The sequence below is a fragment of the Homo sapiens genome, chromosome X (genome assembly GCF_000001405.40).
Source record: "Homo sapiens chromosome X, GRCh38.p14 Primary Assembly".
In the NCBI taxonomy this organism is placed as follows: Eukaryota; Metazoa; Chordata; class Mammalia; order Primates; family Hominidae; genus Homo; species Homo sapiens.
The window spans coordinates 14,696,517-14,714,465 of NC_000023.11; the positions used below are offsets into that span (position 1 = coordinate 14,696,517).

At 40.7% G+C, this 17,949-nt stretch overlaps 2 protein-coding genes across 12 annotated transcripts in view; one reads left to right on the forward strand and one right to left on the reverse strand.

Moving 5' to 3' along the window:
- Window positions 1-17,949, forward strand: part of GLRA2 (glycine receptor alpha 2) — a 283,034-nt gene that overhangs the window by 247,738 nt on the left and 17,347 nt on the right. The gene's annotated exons all lie outside the window — the stretch shown is intronic.
- FANCB (FA complementation group B) overlaps window positions 1-17,949 on the reverse strand; it is a 183,546-nt gene that overhangs the window by 6,993 nt on the left and 158,604 nt on the right. For all 4 annotated transcript variants that reach the window (XR_007068184.1, XR_001755674.2, XR_001755672.2 and 1 more), the window contains one exon: window positions 14,430-14,507. The gene's annotated coding sequence lies outside the window, so the exon portion shown is untranslated. The remainder of the gene's footprint in view (window positions 1-14,429; window positions 14,508-17,949) is intronic.

Genomic DNA, 17,949 nt, shown 5'->3' on the forward strand with positions numbered 1-17,949 from the left:
TATTGAAGATCCCCCAATAAAGATGACATTAGTATGAGTGTTGGGTTGACAGGGAAATGGATGCTAAAGTCATCAACTAATAAAGGAGTACAACTAATAAAGGGTAACAGCACAGATAGGTAACAGCAGTGATAAGGAAAATCAGTAGTGAAGTCTAATGACCTGAGCTTCAGAGACGCCAAAGGATCTGGGTTTGAGGAAGGAGGAAAAAGATATGGTTTGGGCATTGCAGTGGGGAGCAAAAAGGATACCTTAGATTAAAAGATGTTTTAGAGATGCCAGTTGGCAGTTACAATCCCTGCTATGTTTATTGAGAAATGCAAGTTTGCATGTTTGACATGGAGATGTTCTTAAGTTTGTGTATGGCTATTCAGAACATAATGTTTTATTACCAAAGTTAAGTCTTGGGGGGAGTTGAAGAGCAAATCAAATCATGCTTAAGCTTTGTGGTCAAGTTTCCTAATTATCACCGATGGTTGAATTTTGAAAAAATAGGCAAGAAATATTTCCAATTATTTGTCCCTTAGGAAAGGCAGCATTTTTCAGCTTTTTAAAAAAGTCTGAACCATGGTTAGAAAAAAAAAAATGATAACAAGAGCTAACATTTATTGAGGGCTTACTATATGCCAGGTACTCTTCTAGATACTTTACATATAGTAATTCATTTAATCACCACTACAACTGTGTGAGTAATGCAATCATACAGCCCAGTTTACCTGGGAAAGTCTTGATTTAGGCCTATTTTTCCAATACCTTGTGTGATTTAGAATTTGTCCTGGATTACTCATTTTAAACAAAATGTTTTTTATTAATAGTTGCATTAAAATAAGTGGAAACGGGTTTGGTTGACCTCCACTTTATAGACCTGGATTCTGTCATAGGGTGATCCTCCGGTATAGGGGTATGCATGTGCAGTGAACGAGTTCTCACCTTAACACATGGTGAAATCGAAAAAATAATAATAATCACTACTATCCAGGCATCTTTTCTTCATATGTTCCAGATGCAGTGTCATAACTAACACTCCCTTTCCAGGATAGCTTGCGGGAGGGGAGCTTGCTTATAAAATGAAGTGCAATTGGACACCAGAGGCTGGGGACAGATGTTGCTCTCTATCAGTGATGGGTCACTGCTGCCCCTACTGGTCACTTGGGATACCAGCCTTGTTCTATGGCATGGCATGGCATGGCATGCAAAATCCATGAAGCCACCGGGCTATCACTTCATAGGGTCAGTGGGAAACATGGAAAATCACAGGTTCTGTACACATAAAAAGGAAAGAAAAACTGAGCAGTCTTGCTGTTGAGCATCTGAATGCTCATAATTGAGTGATTTTTTTCATTTTTGTATGATATAAATCCGTTTTAACTACGTTTTATTGTTTGATAAAACTTTTTTTTACTTTGCAATTGTCAACATTATAGAGTTGTAATGTCTGTCAGTGCCACTTGCCACTATCAAAATTGTCCTTGTTTGGATTAAATTGAGTAAATTAACTAATAACAATGAAGATACTGTTCTTATCTCAATTTACAGATGAGGAAACTAATGCAAAAAGAAAATAGGGTGAGGCAAGGTGAAGCAAATAGGGTGAGGCAAGTGAGTCACACAAGTACAGGGTCAGATCCTGTTTTATTTTTTATTTAATGTTTTGTTCACCATGGATTTTTTGTATTAATAATGATATTTTCAAACATTGCATTAAATATCATTTGAGTACTGGAGTTTTGGGTACCCCCTCAGATTTTGCCCCTGAGGCCTCACTTGTTTTCCCCTAGTTTGGGGCCCACCTAGTCATGAACTACTAAATTAATTTTCACAGAAATGCATTGTGGCCTGAGTTAATTTTTTTTTAATTATTTAAAAATGTTCAATATTTTGGCCGGGAGCGGTGGCTCACACTTGTAATCCCAGCACTTTGGGAGGCCGAGGTGGGTGGATCACCTGAGGGCAAGAGTTTGAGACCAGCCTGGCCAACATGTGAAACCCTGTCTCTACTAAAAATACAAAAATCAGCCAGGCATGGTGGCATGCACCTGTGGTCCCAGGAACTCATGAGGCTGAGGCAGGAGAATCACTTGAACCCGGGAGGTGGAGATTGCAGTGAGCTGAGATCACGCCACTGTACTCCAGCCTGGGCGACAGAGTGAGACTCTATCTATCTCAAAAAAAAAAAAAAAAAAAAAAAAAAAAGTAAATATTCCCAAGGCAATATGTCATCTCTTTAATTTCCTACTGAGAAACTGACCTCTGAAATAACATACAGGTTGATATTTTAGAAGGTATAACAAAAAACAAGAGCAGATCATCTCCCAAAAAGACAATGGCATTAAGCTTTATTCAGGGAAGGTATTTATTGAGAGAACACCTGAGATTACATTTACATGCATGGGAAGAGTGTCTGGTATTTACTGAGCAATCAAGTTATCAAATGGGGTCACTTTCAAGGAGTGGCCGGGCAATGTGCAACTAGGTGTATTTGCTTTGATTATCTTTTCTAGGTTTTGTAAAGCAGCCACTGTCAATTTTATCAAAACAGAGTTTCTCAGAAACAATCACGCCCAGATCTTCCCTGACAGAACTGGCCAACCCCAGTCTATTAGAAGCTGATGCCCCAGGTCTATGCAATAAAACTCTGTTTTAATGTTATCGCCTCTGCTCCAATAAGAAATATGTGCACCATGTGAAGTTATAACAACTTCTCTACAATGCAGCCTCACCTGCATTTATCTCCCACTTTCATTTTATATCTGGCTGCACCATGCCTTACTTCTGGCATTGTACCTAATTTCAAATGTTTCCAGTTACCCAGATAGCCCTGACTTCTTTTTGTTCAGCTACTAAATAGAAATTGTGGCTGCTTGAGAACATGGTTATGGCATGTGGGCCACCTAATGACAAGTTGCCTTTTACTTATTTTTCTTCTATTTTGTTTTTAATTGACACATAATAGTTGTATATATTTATGGGGTACAATGTGAGGTTTTAAGGTTTTATACATTGTATTATGATCAAATCAGGATAATTACTGTATCAATCATATGAAACACTTATTTCTTCACCAAATCATCTCTTCTAGATATTTTGAAATATACAATACATTATCATTAACGATTTTCACCCAACTGTGCAATAGAAGACCAGAACTTATTCCTCCTATCTAACTGTAACATAGTACCCACTGACTAACTTCTCCTCATCTCTCCCTCCCCCTCATTTTCTCTAGGCACTGATAACCACTATTATACTGTCTACCCCCATGAGATCAAATTTTTTAGATTCCACATATGAGTGAGATCACGTCCTTTGCAGGGACATGGATGGAGCTGCAGGGCATTATCCTCAGCAAACTAATGTAAGAACAGAAAACCAAATACCACTCATTCTCACTTCTAAGTGGGAGCTAATGATGAGAACGCAGGGACACATAGAGGGGAACAACACACACTGGGGTCTTTTGGAGGGTGGAGGGTGGAAGGACAGAGAGGATCAGGTAAAACTAATGGGTACTAGGCTTAAGACCTGGGGTGATGAAATAATCTGTACAATAATCTGTACAACAGACCCCCAGTTACAGACATGACCCTCAGTGTGGGATAGGTGAAATGTGAGAGATGGAGGTAGCGATGTCCATGAGGCAGTCCAGCACTCAGGAGAGAGGACTGGGTTGGACAGACATGCTGAGAAGTCATTAGGATATAGATGGAGGTTAAAGCTATGGAAGTGGATAAGATTACCCAGCAGGAGTGTACAGAGTGAGAAGAGAAGTGGAGGAGAAAGGTTGAGAAAGAGCAGGAAGGGGCAGGGACGGAGCAGGAAGAGGGAATGGAAGGGGAAGGCAGTGTAAGGGAAGGCAGTGTAAGGCAAGGCAGAGGGCTGAGGGCAAACTCCTGTGAGCACCAGCATATCAGAGACAGGCAGGGGGAAAGGAGCCCATGAGAGAGACAGAGAAGGTCAGACGGCTATGTAATCACTCAGAGGCTAGAAAAAGAAACATATTCAGGAAGAAAATTCATAGTATCTAAAGATGTGGAGTTCACATAAAATAAAAGCTAAGAAGCAGCCATGGATTTTAGGAAGTCAGAGGACATTGGTAACCTCAACAACAGCAGGCTCAGTGGAGAGACGGAGGCAGACACAAGATTTTAGGCAGTGTAGTAGTGAAGTGGACAGTGAGGAAGTGAGGACATTGAATGCAGCCATTTTATCCAAGAAAAAGAGGCAGAAGTGGCTGAGGAGGCATATAGGCCATGGATTTTTTTGTTGGTTGGTTGGTTCTTTTGCTTTTTATTTAGTGTTTTTTTTAATGAGCAACTTGAGTACATTTAAATGCTGATGAGAGAGTTGTTTATAGAGAGAATAATATTACTTACAGGAGTTTTGAGGAAAGGTGGGAGAGCATACTTAGGTGGAGCCACTAGCCATACCCAGTAGAAGGTATTCCTTCTGATAACTGGGAGACAAAAGAAGGAATAAGAATAAGGACATGGCAAGTTTGTGGGTGGGTGGGTAGGCGGACAGGATTTTGAAGGAATCCCCACATGATGGCATCTGATTGTTTTCTGTGACACAGGAAACACATTCATTTTCAGAGAATAAAGAGGGAGGTGACAGAGTAGGAGGTGTGAGAACAGTGGGAAAACTTTGAAATGTTTGTGAATTGCGAAATACATCACCAGGAACCCACAGAAGTTTTCTCAAGCAGGCTTAGGGTCCATCGGACGTAGGGGAAATTGGATATGTAGGGGCATCAATGTGCTGGATTCGGTGAGGTTCTCCAGAGGAGCTCAGCAGCCTAGAATAACCAGATGGTGGGTTCCACAATTGATCCAGGCAGGACTGACTGAAATAAAAATGGGCAACCCCTGGTTCAAAAACAATTAAGAATTTCAAGATGGCAACAGCAGAGCATTAAACTAAGCCTAGCACCCCTCTGTGTATGGACCCTGTGTGTCTGCACAGGTTGCATGCCCGTGAAGCCAATCTTGGATCCAAGCTGAGGGTTTTGCCAGACAGGATGGATGAATGGATAAAAATATGAATCACGTGATGGTCCAAGCAGGGTAGAGAAAGGGGGATACTGTAAAGAAGAGATGAGAATGAAAGGAGAATATTTTACACATAAGTGAAATAAATGTAAGCAATAAAATGTGGCAGTTAGCCCACTTATTTATTCTTTATTTGCAATAAAACAGTTAACTCTAGCTTTTAATTTCAATGATTCTTTATATTTCTATAGTTACCAAATTTAGTTGAAGTTCTAGTTTTGCACAGACCTTCTTAAGGGAGTTTTGCTTTACAGATTTTTTGAAGGGAGTTCAATGTTTAAATGAGAAAGAAAACTTGTATCAACTAGTGTCCTTTTTGTGTTGTTTTGTTTACTGGGGTAGACAGGCTCAGACAAATATTTCAGTGCAGAATGTTGTGTGCTGTGGGAAAGGTTTAAGTGCATGATTTAAAGTGATGACTGAGGACAAAGCATCTTCTCCACTTGGTAGTGCCAGGGAGTTGAGCCTTTGTCTGGGTCTTGACACAGGAGTAGAAATTTGCCAGGTCAAAAGGAAAATTAAGAGGATATCCAGGCTGAGGAAACGGTTATGCAGAGGTTCAGATGTTAGAAACGACATGATGCTTTCACTACATCATAAAAAGTTGAGTCAGGAAAGTGCTAAAGCATGGGGCCTAAAAGGAAGGAAGACTTCAGTTGCTCTTGAACTGGGAGCCACCAAAAGGCTTTATAAATGATAGAATGCTACAATCAGATTGGAACTGTGGAAACATCACTCTATATAGAAAGGATCAGATTGGAATAAGGCACAAGATCAGGAAAATGCTGCTTCAGCATTTCAACTTAAAAACACCCTTAATTTTATAAGTAGTCTACACTTCCCTGAAGCCCCTCCCTAGAGGCATAGATCATTATTACTATTTTGGTTTGCCTTTTTGTAATTTTGCTAGAACTAGCTTTCCAAATCTGGGATGTATATTATAAACTTACCAAAGCTTGTCTTAAGTGTGAATATAAAAGTGGCTTTCTGGTTTGAATTCTTTGCAGTAACACAGGTGTCTTATCATTGCTGTAACAAATCACTACAAACTTAATGGCTTAAAACAGGAAAAACTTATTATCTACACTTCTGTAGGTCCAAAATGGGCCTCACTAGGTTAAAATCAAGGTATTGGCAGGACTGCATTGCTTCTGGAGGGTTGTCACGGGGGTTCAAGGGATTGGGGGCCATATCAAAGAAAAAGATATGACCACGCAGGCAGTAATACACAACAAAGTTTATTGGGTGGCACTTGGACAGGGTTGCGTGAAAAGGTGGCTCCTCACAGCATGAAATGATCCAGAGGCTTAGAGACAGGGGCCACCATACAGAGAGGAGAGGACAAGGGGACTCCCAGTGGGGAGGTGAATCAGAGGGGGCTCACTTGTCTAGGTGATGTTGCTCAGCTGCACAGTGGGGGAGCCTCTGGGTCAGAGAGCTTCAAAGAGCAGCAGTGCCATGGGACCTTATAAGTGCAAGGACCAGCAGATGCTAGGCATGGTTTCGTGGGCTATGCAAAGCAGTCAGGGTCTAGATGGCTAAAAATCTGCTTGTTTAGGCTATTTTTAAAATAATGGAATGTGTAAAATTTGAGTTTGGTGCCAGCAAGCTTTGGAGATAACAGGTCTCAACCTATAGTGGGGAAATAAACAACCAAGGGGACAATACTCAGAGGCCATCTTTGGCTCATTTATATAACAGTGTTCTAGGGGAGAATCTGATTTCTTGACTTTTCCAACTTCTAGAGCTACTTACATTCCTTGGCTCATAGTCCCCTTTCTCCAAAGGGGAAAGTTGTTCAAAGCCATAACATTGCATTTCTCTGACCCTTCTTCCATTGCCATGTGTACCTCTGACCACAGTTGAGAAAGGTTCTCCATTTCTAAGAGTCATGTGATTAAGTTGTGAGCACGTAGATCATCTAGGGCCCTCTCCCCATCCTTAGTTTCTTAATCACATCTGCAAAGCCCCTCTGCTTTGTAGGATAACATATTCACAGGTTCCAAGGATTAGGACACAGACATCTTTGGTAGGCATTATCCTGCCTGCCACAAACAGCAATGGTTTCCACTGCAACTCTGAGAGCATCCGTTGGGCACTGTAGCATGCTCCATGCACACTCAGGACAGTCCAGAAGTACCAGGAGGTGAATGCTACAGGAGTGGCCCTCAACCAATGAGAACTGGGAGTTGGTGGCCAAATACCAAGCTTCCTCAACCCTTGGTAAGTCAAGTCTCAGTCTCTCAGAGGTTTGAGCCCCATTTGGCAACCATGGTCACCTGCTGATTATTCACACATCCTTTATTGACTTTTCTCCTTTCCTTGTCCTACACTTCCCCACTCCCTCACCACACTCCTGTTGTTGCCTCCCAAGTAAACCTCTTGCATGCAATCCCTCATCTCAGGGTTGCTTTGGAGAGAACAAAAACAAACTAAGGTGCAATGCCTCCTAGGCCAAGGACCTCATGAGAATCACAACCCACTGAACCCCATCCTCGGCCTCCCCACTAAACACCAGATTCTGGAGGACTTTTTGTGCCTAAAGTGTGGAAACAGAGGGAATCTAGGAGCAGCAAGTGTCAAACAATGGTTTATTGTACCTTACAGTTGGCATTGCTAAAATATTTCTGTGCTGCTGAGCTTCTAAAATAGGTTTCATAACACAATTCTATTGCTTTATGTCCCTGAAATCAAGCCTGTGCCTTCAGCTCTACTAGTGTTTCATAAAGGCTATGATGGCAGATACCTTGAACCTTCTTCTTTCACTATCTAGCTCTTAATTGGTGTAAGATTCTTTTTTTCCACTTTAAAATCCAGATCCTGCACAATGGTTTAAGATTCTTGATGGCAACTTGAGCTGTAGTTATTTCAGCATAACTGGACTCTCATAAAAAGATCGAGCTAAATGACAGAAAAGTCTGGTGCTTCCTTGGCATTACATCAGAGATGTGGGTTTGCCTAATCATAGTAGTAATTTGTCTCTATCACTGTTATTCTTGTTTTTAACAAGCTGATTTGGGGACAATATGCTTAAATGGAGTTATTTCCCACCTGATTGATGAGGCAGCATCAGACGCGAGTATAACCGTTTATAAAATAAATGACCTTGGCTCTGTGCAGGAGTGGGTAAAAGGAAACGACCCCTGCCTTCTTAGTTTTCATTCTAAGCTGCTAGACAATCCTAGATTTCATTTCTTCAACAAATAGTTTTTGAATGCTTGCCTTGTACAGTGTTTTGTTTTAGATAAGGGGCAGATAAAAAAAACTGCTTGAAACCTGTTTTCACAAAATTTTAGAGGTCAATATCAGAAAAAAAGTACAAAAATGTTCTAATATGAGGTAGAGAATTTTAAGAACCATAAGAGAGTTATAGTTGGAGCTGTGGCAATTCCCAGGAAGGGAGAGTATAGTGTACTTCCAGCTCTTAAGGAGGGAGGAGATTCTCAAGAAAGAAGCAGCATTTGTAAAGTTCATTTTATCTTAGAATGTTAACTGTAAGTTATTCTAAACTCATCTTGTTATTGTCAGTAAATGAAACAGAGATTAAATAATTAAATAGGTAATGAAAACTACATTCTTTAAGGTGGCATTTAATGCTCATTAGAAAGTAGCCTTATCCTGCCTTGCTGATACACATTTACATCAGATGAACCTGGAGAGCTTCCCACTCCAAGACCTTCAAGAGGAAAGTGAGAGTCAGTGACACGGAAGCTTTGTTTGATCTAAGGCAGTGGTTCTCAGCCAGGAGCTATTTTTCCCCACCCCAGGGGACATTTGGCAATGTATGGAGGCGTTTTTAGTTCTCACAACTTGGGGTTGGGGACTGTGTGTGTTGCTGAACTCTAATGAGTAGAGACCAAGGATGCTGCTAAACATCCTACAGTGCACAGGATGGTGCCCATAGCAAAGAATCATCTGACCCGAATATGGATAGTGTCAAGTTTGAAAAACCCTAATCTAAGGGACAGAAGCATGCTGTGCACACAGAGGACTGAGGTTTAGCTTCATGAGTGCAAGCTGCTTATGAATAAAGATGTCACTCCTGTCAGGAGTAATTAATTAGAGCTAGTATAACCCAGTTGACAAAATAGTCAGAAAAACCTTTCATTAAGAATTTCCTCTTTTGTAAGTGAACTCTTTTACTCTACATAAAGTTCTTTTTATTTACATCATATAGCAAATCAGGGATCCAAAATATGGTTCTTTGTACTGGTAATGAACAGGGGCATGAATTTTGTTGGGTGTATGATTTAATTGCTTTTCAAAATGTTGACATGTTGACATGGGTGTAAAAACATCAGGAGGTTAAGTTATTAAATGCCTCCACTTCATTCCACTCTATCTGCTGCTGCTAGGATTTGTTCAAGAGCAACAGAAGTCATACCAGAAATGAGCTCTGGTATTTTCTAGAAACAAGGTAACCCATTACAGCATGGTTCTCAATCCTGGTTACACACTAGAGACACCTGGGAGCTTTTTAAAATCTAAATGCCCAGACCCCACCTCAGACCATTAAATCAGAATATTTAGGTGTAGAGCCCAGACATCTTGGTTTTATAAGGCTTCCCAGGTGGTTGCAATGTGAAGCCAAGTTTGAGAACCTTGCTTCTTTAAATGTCATCTGTTGACCAGCAGCATCAGCATCACCTACAGCTTGCTAGAAATGCAGCCTCTCAGGCCCTACCCCAGACGTGTGGAATCAAAAATAACAGGATTCTCAGGAGATTCACTAGCACATTAAAGCTTGAGAAGTGCTGCTCTAGAATATATCGCAGAGAGTCCACTTTTAAATTGTATGCATGTTGCAATATGCACAGTCTAAAACAAGGCATACTATTACTATTAAGACATGGTAAAAAGCTCCAAAGCTTTAAATAGAATTATTTTCACTTGGTAAGAAATATTAAGTTTATTACTGTGGCTGCTTGTGTTTTGCACTAAATTTTATTTTTAATTGTGAAAGATTTCAATCATATAGAGTAATTTAACCCTATGTTGCTTGTTGTTTTGTTTCTCTCAAGAAGAGTAATCACTAAGTAGCCTAGGATTATCATTCTGGTATTAGGAGCCAAATGGGAACCCCATGAAAGACCTTTTCCTATAACTGAGAAGGTTCCTTCTCAGCTCTGTGTTCACATACACAAGGAGGAAATGATCTGAAATGGCATGTAACAGGATCCATGATAGAGTGAGGAGCTTCACCTTTGTTAACAAGATTGAACAGTGCACACATGCATTGTAGTAAAACAATAATTCTAAATAGTCATACAACTTCATTCTGGAAAGCACAAAATGCTTCAAATTATGGTAGTTTGGCAGTGATATCTCCACAGGGAGTTTATAAGGTTTGCTGAATGTCGTACAGCCAATTCCTGACTGCCAGACCTGAGACGCCTTAATTCAACACAGAATCATTGAATGTTCTTTCACACTTCCTGTCTTTTAGGGCAGATTGATTAAAATAAAACTTACAAAAATACCTGTCTTAAAGTCAGCCTTCTTCATCCCAGCCAAGTACCCTATCCTGTCAATATGTTTCATTACAGCACCATTTCCTGGAATTACTGCCATTGAATTCCCGTCCTCTTAATAACATATACTTTTTCTCTCCAAAACATGCAAAAAAGAATATGAGAGAGAAGCATGACATAGTGACACATGCTTAGGGCCAGGAGTCCAGCTGGCTGAATCTAAATCCTGGCTGGTGCTTTATTTGCTGGGTGATTAGAGTCATGGCCTAACCACTCTGGGTCTCAGTTTCTTCATCTGTAGAAAGAGTCTAATAAAGTCCTTTCTCATGGGCTGCTGTTAGGAGCAAGCAAGATTATGCACGTGAAGAACAGTGCCTTGCATACAGCCAATACTTATGAAGTATTTCCTTTCTCTTCCTTTCGCCTGCTTTTTGACATGAGAATATTGCATGATACAGAGTTTGGAGCATGAATCCCTTCACCCTGGTAGTGAGCTTAGAACCTGATAGGTAGTTTTTTAACCCACCCCCCACCCTCCACCCTCTAAAAAAACCAAAAAACAACAACAAAGAAAATATCATGGTATATCCTGCTTTGTAAAAGTAAATACTACTTTGTGAAACTTTTGTTGCCATTAGATATATTAATGTGTGTGGAAGTGTGTGTATGTGTGTCCTGGTTAGTAATGGAAAATATGTTTTCCTACTTTGACAGCAAAAAAGGTGTGTGTGTGTGTGTGCACGCGCGCGTGTTGCATGCACTGTTAGATGACAGTCTTTATTTTTTTTCTAGCTTTAAGGTATAATTGACAATTAGAAATCATATATATTTAAGGTATACGACTTGATGATTTGATATATGTATACACTGTGAAATAATCACCATGATTAAACTAATTAACATGTCCATCATCTCACATTGTTACCAGTTTCTTTTTTTTCCTTCCTTTCTACCTTCTTTCCTTCCCTCCCTCCTTCTTTCTTTCATGAGAACACTAAAGATCTACCCCCTTAGCAAATTTCAAGTATACAATACAGTATTGTTAACTATAGTCACATTGTTGTACATTAGATCTCCAGAGCTTATTCATCTCACAGAACTGAAACTTTGTATCCCTTGACCAACATCTTCCCCTTTCCCCTCACTCTATCTCTTGGCAACCACCATTCTACTCTCTGCTTCTGTGAGTTTGATTATTTTAGATTCCACATATAAGTGAGAACCTGCAGTATTTCACAGCAAAAAGTTTTGAAGGCCAGTGCTCTCAGGGTGGATCAGGCCAGGTAAACAAATTCACCTGACCATCTCAGGCTTAAACCTTCTCACATACCCTCAAGAGGCAGTCACAGACACAGTAGGAGGGGTCATTTGGTTGCCATGATGACAGGGACAGGAGGTATATGTTGCACTAACTATATTGCACCTCACTAAAACTTGCTAAGCCCTCGCTTTTGTTTGACCAGCCCACACTCACACGCCACCTGAGTATTATGATGCCCATGACCCAGTGGGCTCATCACTCCGTGACCTGCCTTCAGAGTTCAAGCTGTGTCATCCTCAGCTGGACACAACATCTGCCCAATTATACAGCACACAGCTGGGAGAAAAGAGAGACATCAGGCCAGGCGCGGTGGCTCACGTCTGTAATCCCAGCACTTTGGGAGGCCGAGGTGGGCGGATGGCCTGGGGTCAGGAGTTTGAGACCAGCCTGACCAACATGGAGAAACCCCGTCTCTACTAAAAATACAAAATTAGCCGGGCACGGTGGCTCATGCCTGTAATCCCAGCTACTCGGGAAGCTGAGGCAGGAGAATCACTTGAACCTGGGAGGCGGAGGTTGCGGTGAGCCGAGATCGCGCCATTGCACTCTAGTCTGGGCAACAAGAGAGAAACTCCGTCTCCACACAAAAAGAAAAAAAAAAGAGAGAGAGACAGCAACTCAGGAGTTAAGTCCATTTTCTATGAAAATATATCGTCTTAGAACCATATCAGGTTTTCCTTTTTGCCTCTGATTATAACTATTGTATTGACATCTTTGAAAACGAAAGGGAGAGCTGGGCCCAGTGGTGCATGCCTGTAATCCCTGCTACTTGAGTGGCTGAGATGGGAGGATCACGTAGGCCAGCAGTTCAAGGCTGCAGTGAGCTATGATCACGGCACTGCACTGCAGCCCGGACAACAGAGCAAGACCCTGTCTCTTTAAAAAGGAGTAGGGAAGGGCTACAGACCCCCCATCATGTGCCAAATACTGTGTTACATACCTTCATGCACACTTTCTTAACTAGAAACTCAGCTGGTCAACAATTAGATCAACAGATACTGGCATTATTTTCCCATAGTGACCAATCTGTCTTCTGTGTTTACTTCAATCAATCTTCCCTCTGGGCCTACAGACAAGTTTTCTCTCTGAAATATTAAATCTGGTAACCGTAATAATGAAGCAGAGAAAAGAGGAACTCTTGGAAATGCACTACAGATACTCCACCAAACAAACTCTCATTTTATCCATAATTTTCCATTTTTTTCCAGCAAGAGTTGCGTATAAGAAGCTATAAGCGACAGTGAACAAACAAATGGTTGCAGGGAAAGCATAAGGGAGCTAGGACAGAGATGATCTGCAAAGCTAAATCAATCATAAGCCAGAATAATGGAGCATAGACTGTGTTTCTGGTTCACTCTGCTGCTTTGATCTGCAGTCCAATGCTCTACCTCTGAGCTATACCCCCTCCTTACTCTGCTGCTTTGAATGTCCTTGAGAGAAGCAATAGGAAAGTGCCTCCTGATGGTTTACAGTGTTCACCTGCTTCGGTAACTGCTAATTTTAAACCAGAACCTACAGTCCATATTCATTAAAGAAGAGCTAGCTTACCAACATCATTCAAATTCAGGAGATAAGATTGGCCAGAGAAAGCAGGTTTATAGTTTTTCACCTGGAGAAACACATTTGTTCTGCAGCTGTGGAAAGCAATGACATGATGGCCCATAGATGTCTCTCTCCTCAGGACATGCCTCACTGCCCCTCTGCTAGAAACCTCCTAACACTTCTCCAAGTCACACCTGGGCGATTTCATCATGAACCTAACCTGTCTCTTCTAAGTTGGCAGGAAGACATCGAGGGCCAGACCAAATATAGATCTGATCCTAGTGATTGAGTTCTCAGTTCTTGAGTTTACTGAGCCCCCTGCAGAAACAAACAACTCACCAAACTTCCACTGCAAACAGCATTGACTTTCATCCCTCTGAGCTACTTCCAGCAGAAATTGAGCAGTAAGAGGGAAGAGGGGAAAGAAAGCAGTGGCTATCTGGAAGGTTGATATCATTGCTTGAAGCCTCTAGGCTATCAAAACAATATAATAAAGACAGGCCTCTGTGAACACCATGTGTCAGCCTCTAAAAGGACATACATTCATTATTTACATAATGTGAGGTAACATGTTACTATATCAGGAGTTTTCTTATTCTATATTCTATATTTTATATATTCTATATTAGAGTCATCTTCAAAATTATAACAGCAGCAAAGGGACTTGTTGCCTAATTAAAACCCTTAAAAATGATGAAATAAAATATTATGTACGTCAAAGATAATTGAAAGAGGAAAATATGCCTGAACTGAACTGTTGTTACGGTTGATTATATTAGAACAGGGTTTCTCAAAACTGGACTAGAAACTTCTGAGAGATTATGGAGGGCCATAGCAGGACATAGCTTATCAAATACATCTTTCCTGAACTTGGGTCAGCACCTTCAATGTGGTTTACCCTCTTAGACTTCTTAACTTAGCAGTTTTTACACACAGAGACTCCATAAATAGAAGAGATATAAATTTTCACCTAGTCCCCTAACCCATTCAACATTTCCAACAAATGGCTGAATACTTGACTATTTCTAGCAATGGTGAGTTCATTACCTTCCAAGGTGGTATGTTCCATGTTCAGTCACAGAGTTGTTAAAAGTTCATCCTCATATAGAGTTGAATTCTGTCTCCCTGTAATATCAACCAACAGTCTCTGATTAGTTTCCTTGGAGCCATTAATACAAATATGAGTGAACTCAAAAGAGCCCTTCATTCTTTTGAAAATACTTGTCATATCAGCCAGGCTTATCTCTTCTCAAGGCCAGCCTTTTGTTGTTCCTTCTATTCTTGTTCCTTTTATGCTTCCTCATGTGTTGTCACTTTCAGGAACATTCACCACCCTGGGAGGGTTCCCTTGCCCCCAAACTTATTCTCAATCTGTCCTGTTTGTATCTCATAATCCTACCCCTTTTTCTATCCAGTGACCCAGGGACAACTGTTTATAAATTGGAATATCAATGAGATTCTCTCTTTCAAGAATTCAAACAGAGGTTCTGATACGCTAATTAGATGACAGTGAGGACTTGAGTTGAACAGTTTCACATAGAGCTGAGGCGGTGTGGGCCTGATTGGAACATGAATGATTATGGGAACCTGGTAAGAGAAGAGCAGAAATTGGAGAGAGCATGAGCCCTGAGAAATTGAGAACACTCTCACTTCCTGACTTGCTCATTGGAGCTCCTGGGCTAGATAGCCCTGTGTATACCATCATGCTAACATTTATTGAGCATACACTATATACCAGGCATGTAAACTTTTAATGTACATTTCCCTGAATCTTCTCAAAAAACCCTCTAAGGAAGGAGATATCATCTCTATTTTACTACAAAAGAGACTGAGGCACGTAGTAAGTGACTTACCCAGTTCCCACAATGGTTAGTGGCAGAGCCAAGATTTGAAACCAGAGTTTTCGCTCCAGAGCCCAGGCTTCTCACCTTTACAGGGCATTGCTTCCCTATCCTTGGAAACTTATGAGATTATCTTACAATAATTTTCTTATAATAATTCCTTAAAGACAGTTCCATTTATTTAAGCTACTATGAGTGAGTTTCTGTCCTTTGTAACAAATCTTCCGCGATTAAGATGCCAGATGGTTAAAAGATACCAACTAATGGCCAAATGGCAGAGGCAGTGCATTTTGTCATGTTATTATAGAAAAAAATGCCATCTAGCTTTCCTTCAATTGCCTTGGCATAACATTACCTTTTCCATAGTATCTGGTGGTCTGTTCCTTTGCCAGAGCAGATATCACATTATATTATAGTCATTTGTCTGTATCAGGGTTTCCCAACCTTAGCACTGTTGAGATTTGATGCTAGATAATTCATGCTTTGTGGTGGGGGCTGTCTTGTGCATTGCAGGATGTTCAGCAGTATCCTGGCCTCTATCCACTAGATGCCAGTAAAACACCCTCTCCCAGTTGTGACAACCAAAATGTCTCCAGACATTGCCAAATATCCCCTAGGGGGCAAAAATGACCCTAGTTGAGAATCACTCGTCTACATGTTCTAGATCCTCTCCACTAATCGCACACTGACTTCAAGTGCAGGATTTTGTCTTCTTTATCCTTGTTTCTGTCCAACGCTTGGTACATTAAGATAATCACTCTTAATTGAAAAAAAAAAAACTATAGTTGCTTGCATTAAAGTGGCGTTTTGTAGTTAAAAGTCTGGAGTAACTGTACACCTGTATCCATCTGGGTATAGTCATGAAGACAAAGACATTAAAAGTAGTACCAAAATCAAGGGTTTAATATAGAAATTAGGCTTTATATGAATGTGGGGGAGTAACTGGGGGGGTTAAGGTCTAAAAGGCAATAGTCAAAGGATGGGACTTAACATGAAGTTCTGAGTAGAAAACCAAGTGTTCACAGAAAAATCTGAGAAGTCACCAGGTCTAGGCACCAAAGTAAGATCATAAAGTGGGAGTCCACAGAAAGGTCTAGCCACCGTGTCTAACAAAGCAGCCTCTTCTGACCCCAATGATTCCCAAAAGTAATAGCCTCTGCTTCCTTTCTGCTTTCCAGATCTTCCAAGTTTCTCTTACTGAAAAATCCTAACCTGCAACCAATCCAGAAGAGAATTCTGGGAAATATAGTTCTTCCCAGCCTTAGGCAGATGCCTAAGGAGTGGTGGTGCCAGATAAACAACAGATAATCCCATACAATAACCACTTTGGCACCAAGTGTGTGGATATATATAGAGAGAGAAGTTGAAGCACGATAAAGATCTAGAGAATTTGGCAGTCAGAATCATCCAAGTTAGTAAACAAGCAAATGCTTGATGTGATTTGTCACTGATGCTGTTATTATTGTTTTGAGTTTAGTAGTGGGTTCATCCCCTAATCACCTGACCCCTCCAGTCTCAACATTCACCTTGCACCCTGAACAGATGGCAAATGATATTAATAATCAAACAGCTCATACTCCAGATGGAAGATGTTCACCTTCATGCTTCTTAGAATTTTGTGTGTCTTTTGAGCACTCTAGCTAGAGCAGAATTGACAGAAACTGCTGTGAAAGAATTTCCATATGCAAGGCATTGCTTCTCTTATGAGGAATTGAAATATCACAGCCATATTATCCATTTCTAAACTACTCTCTAAGGCTACAGATGACATTAAATAAAAACATTTCTGCTTGATAGATTTTGAACAGAAAGCCAAACAACTATTTTTAAACAATTACTTCTAGTCCATTTAAAATGTGGTGCTGTAGGTGAGGTATGATCCAAAGAAGAGTGAAAAATATATTTCACTATAGAAAATTCTATTCAAAATATACATTGAAAAGACAAAGACTTCAGAGTTTGCATGGCCCACAAAGCCTAAAATGTTGACTATCTAGCCCTTTACAGAAAATGTTTGCTGACTCCTGGGCTAGAGGGAGAACAGCAGGAGTTAAGGTCTGAGAGGTAAAGGGGATGTTACAAGGACTTATGAGGAGAACCACTGGAGAGTTTTGAGCTGAAGATGACCTGATTTGACTGGAAATTTAACAGAATCCATTTATTTGCTATGTTGAAAATAGACACTATTGTTGGGAGGACAGGTCTAGAAGCCAGCAGACCATGTAGATGACTACTGCAATAATTCTGGTGGGAATTATCCTGATGAGCCACCAAGGGGTGGCTCAGACCAGCATGTAGTGTTGGAGATGGCAAGAAGTTATTAGGTTCTGGTTTGAAGCTTGAACTGATTCTATTTCCTGGTTTGAAGCTTGAACTGATTCTATTTCCTGATACTAGATATATTGCATAGCCCCACATAGGTGTAGGGGAGGCTAGAATATTCAGACTTTCCACGTACACATTTATGACCAGCCAAAACAGGGGTTCTCAAGTAGGGTTGATTTACTCATCCAGGAGACACTTGGCAATGTCTTGAGACATTTTTGGTGTCACAGTTCAGGGGCGGGGTGCTACTGGCATCTAGTGGGTAAAGGCCATGTAGGCTGCTAAACATCCTGAAATGCAAAGCTCAGTTCCCAAGAACAAATAATTATCTAGCCCCAAGTATCAATATTCCTGCAGGTAAGCAACCTTGAACTAAAGAAAGATCCACCATTATGAGAAGA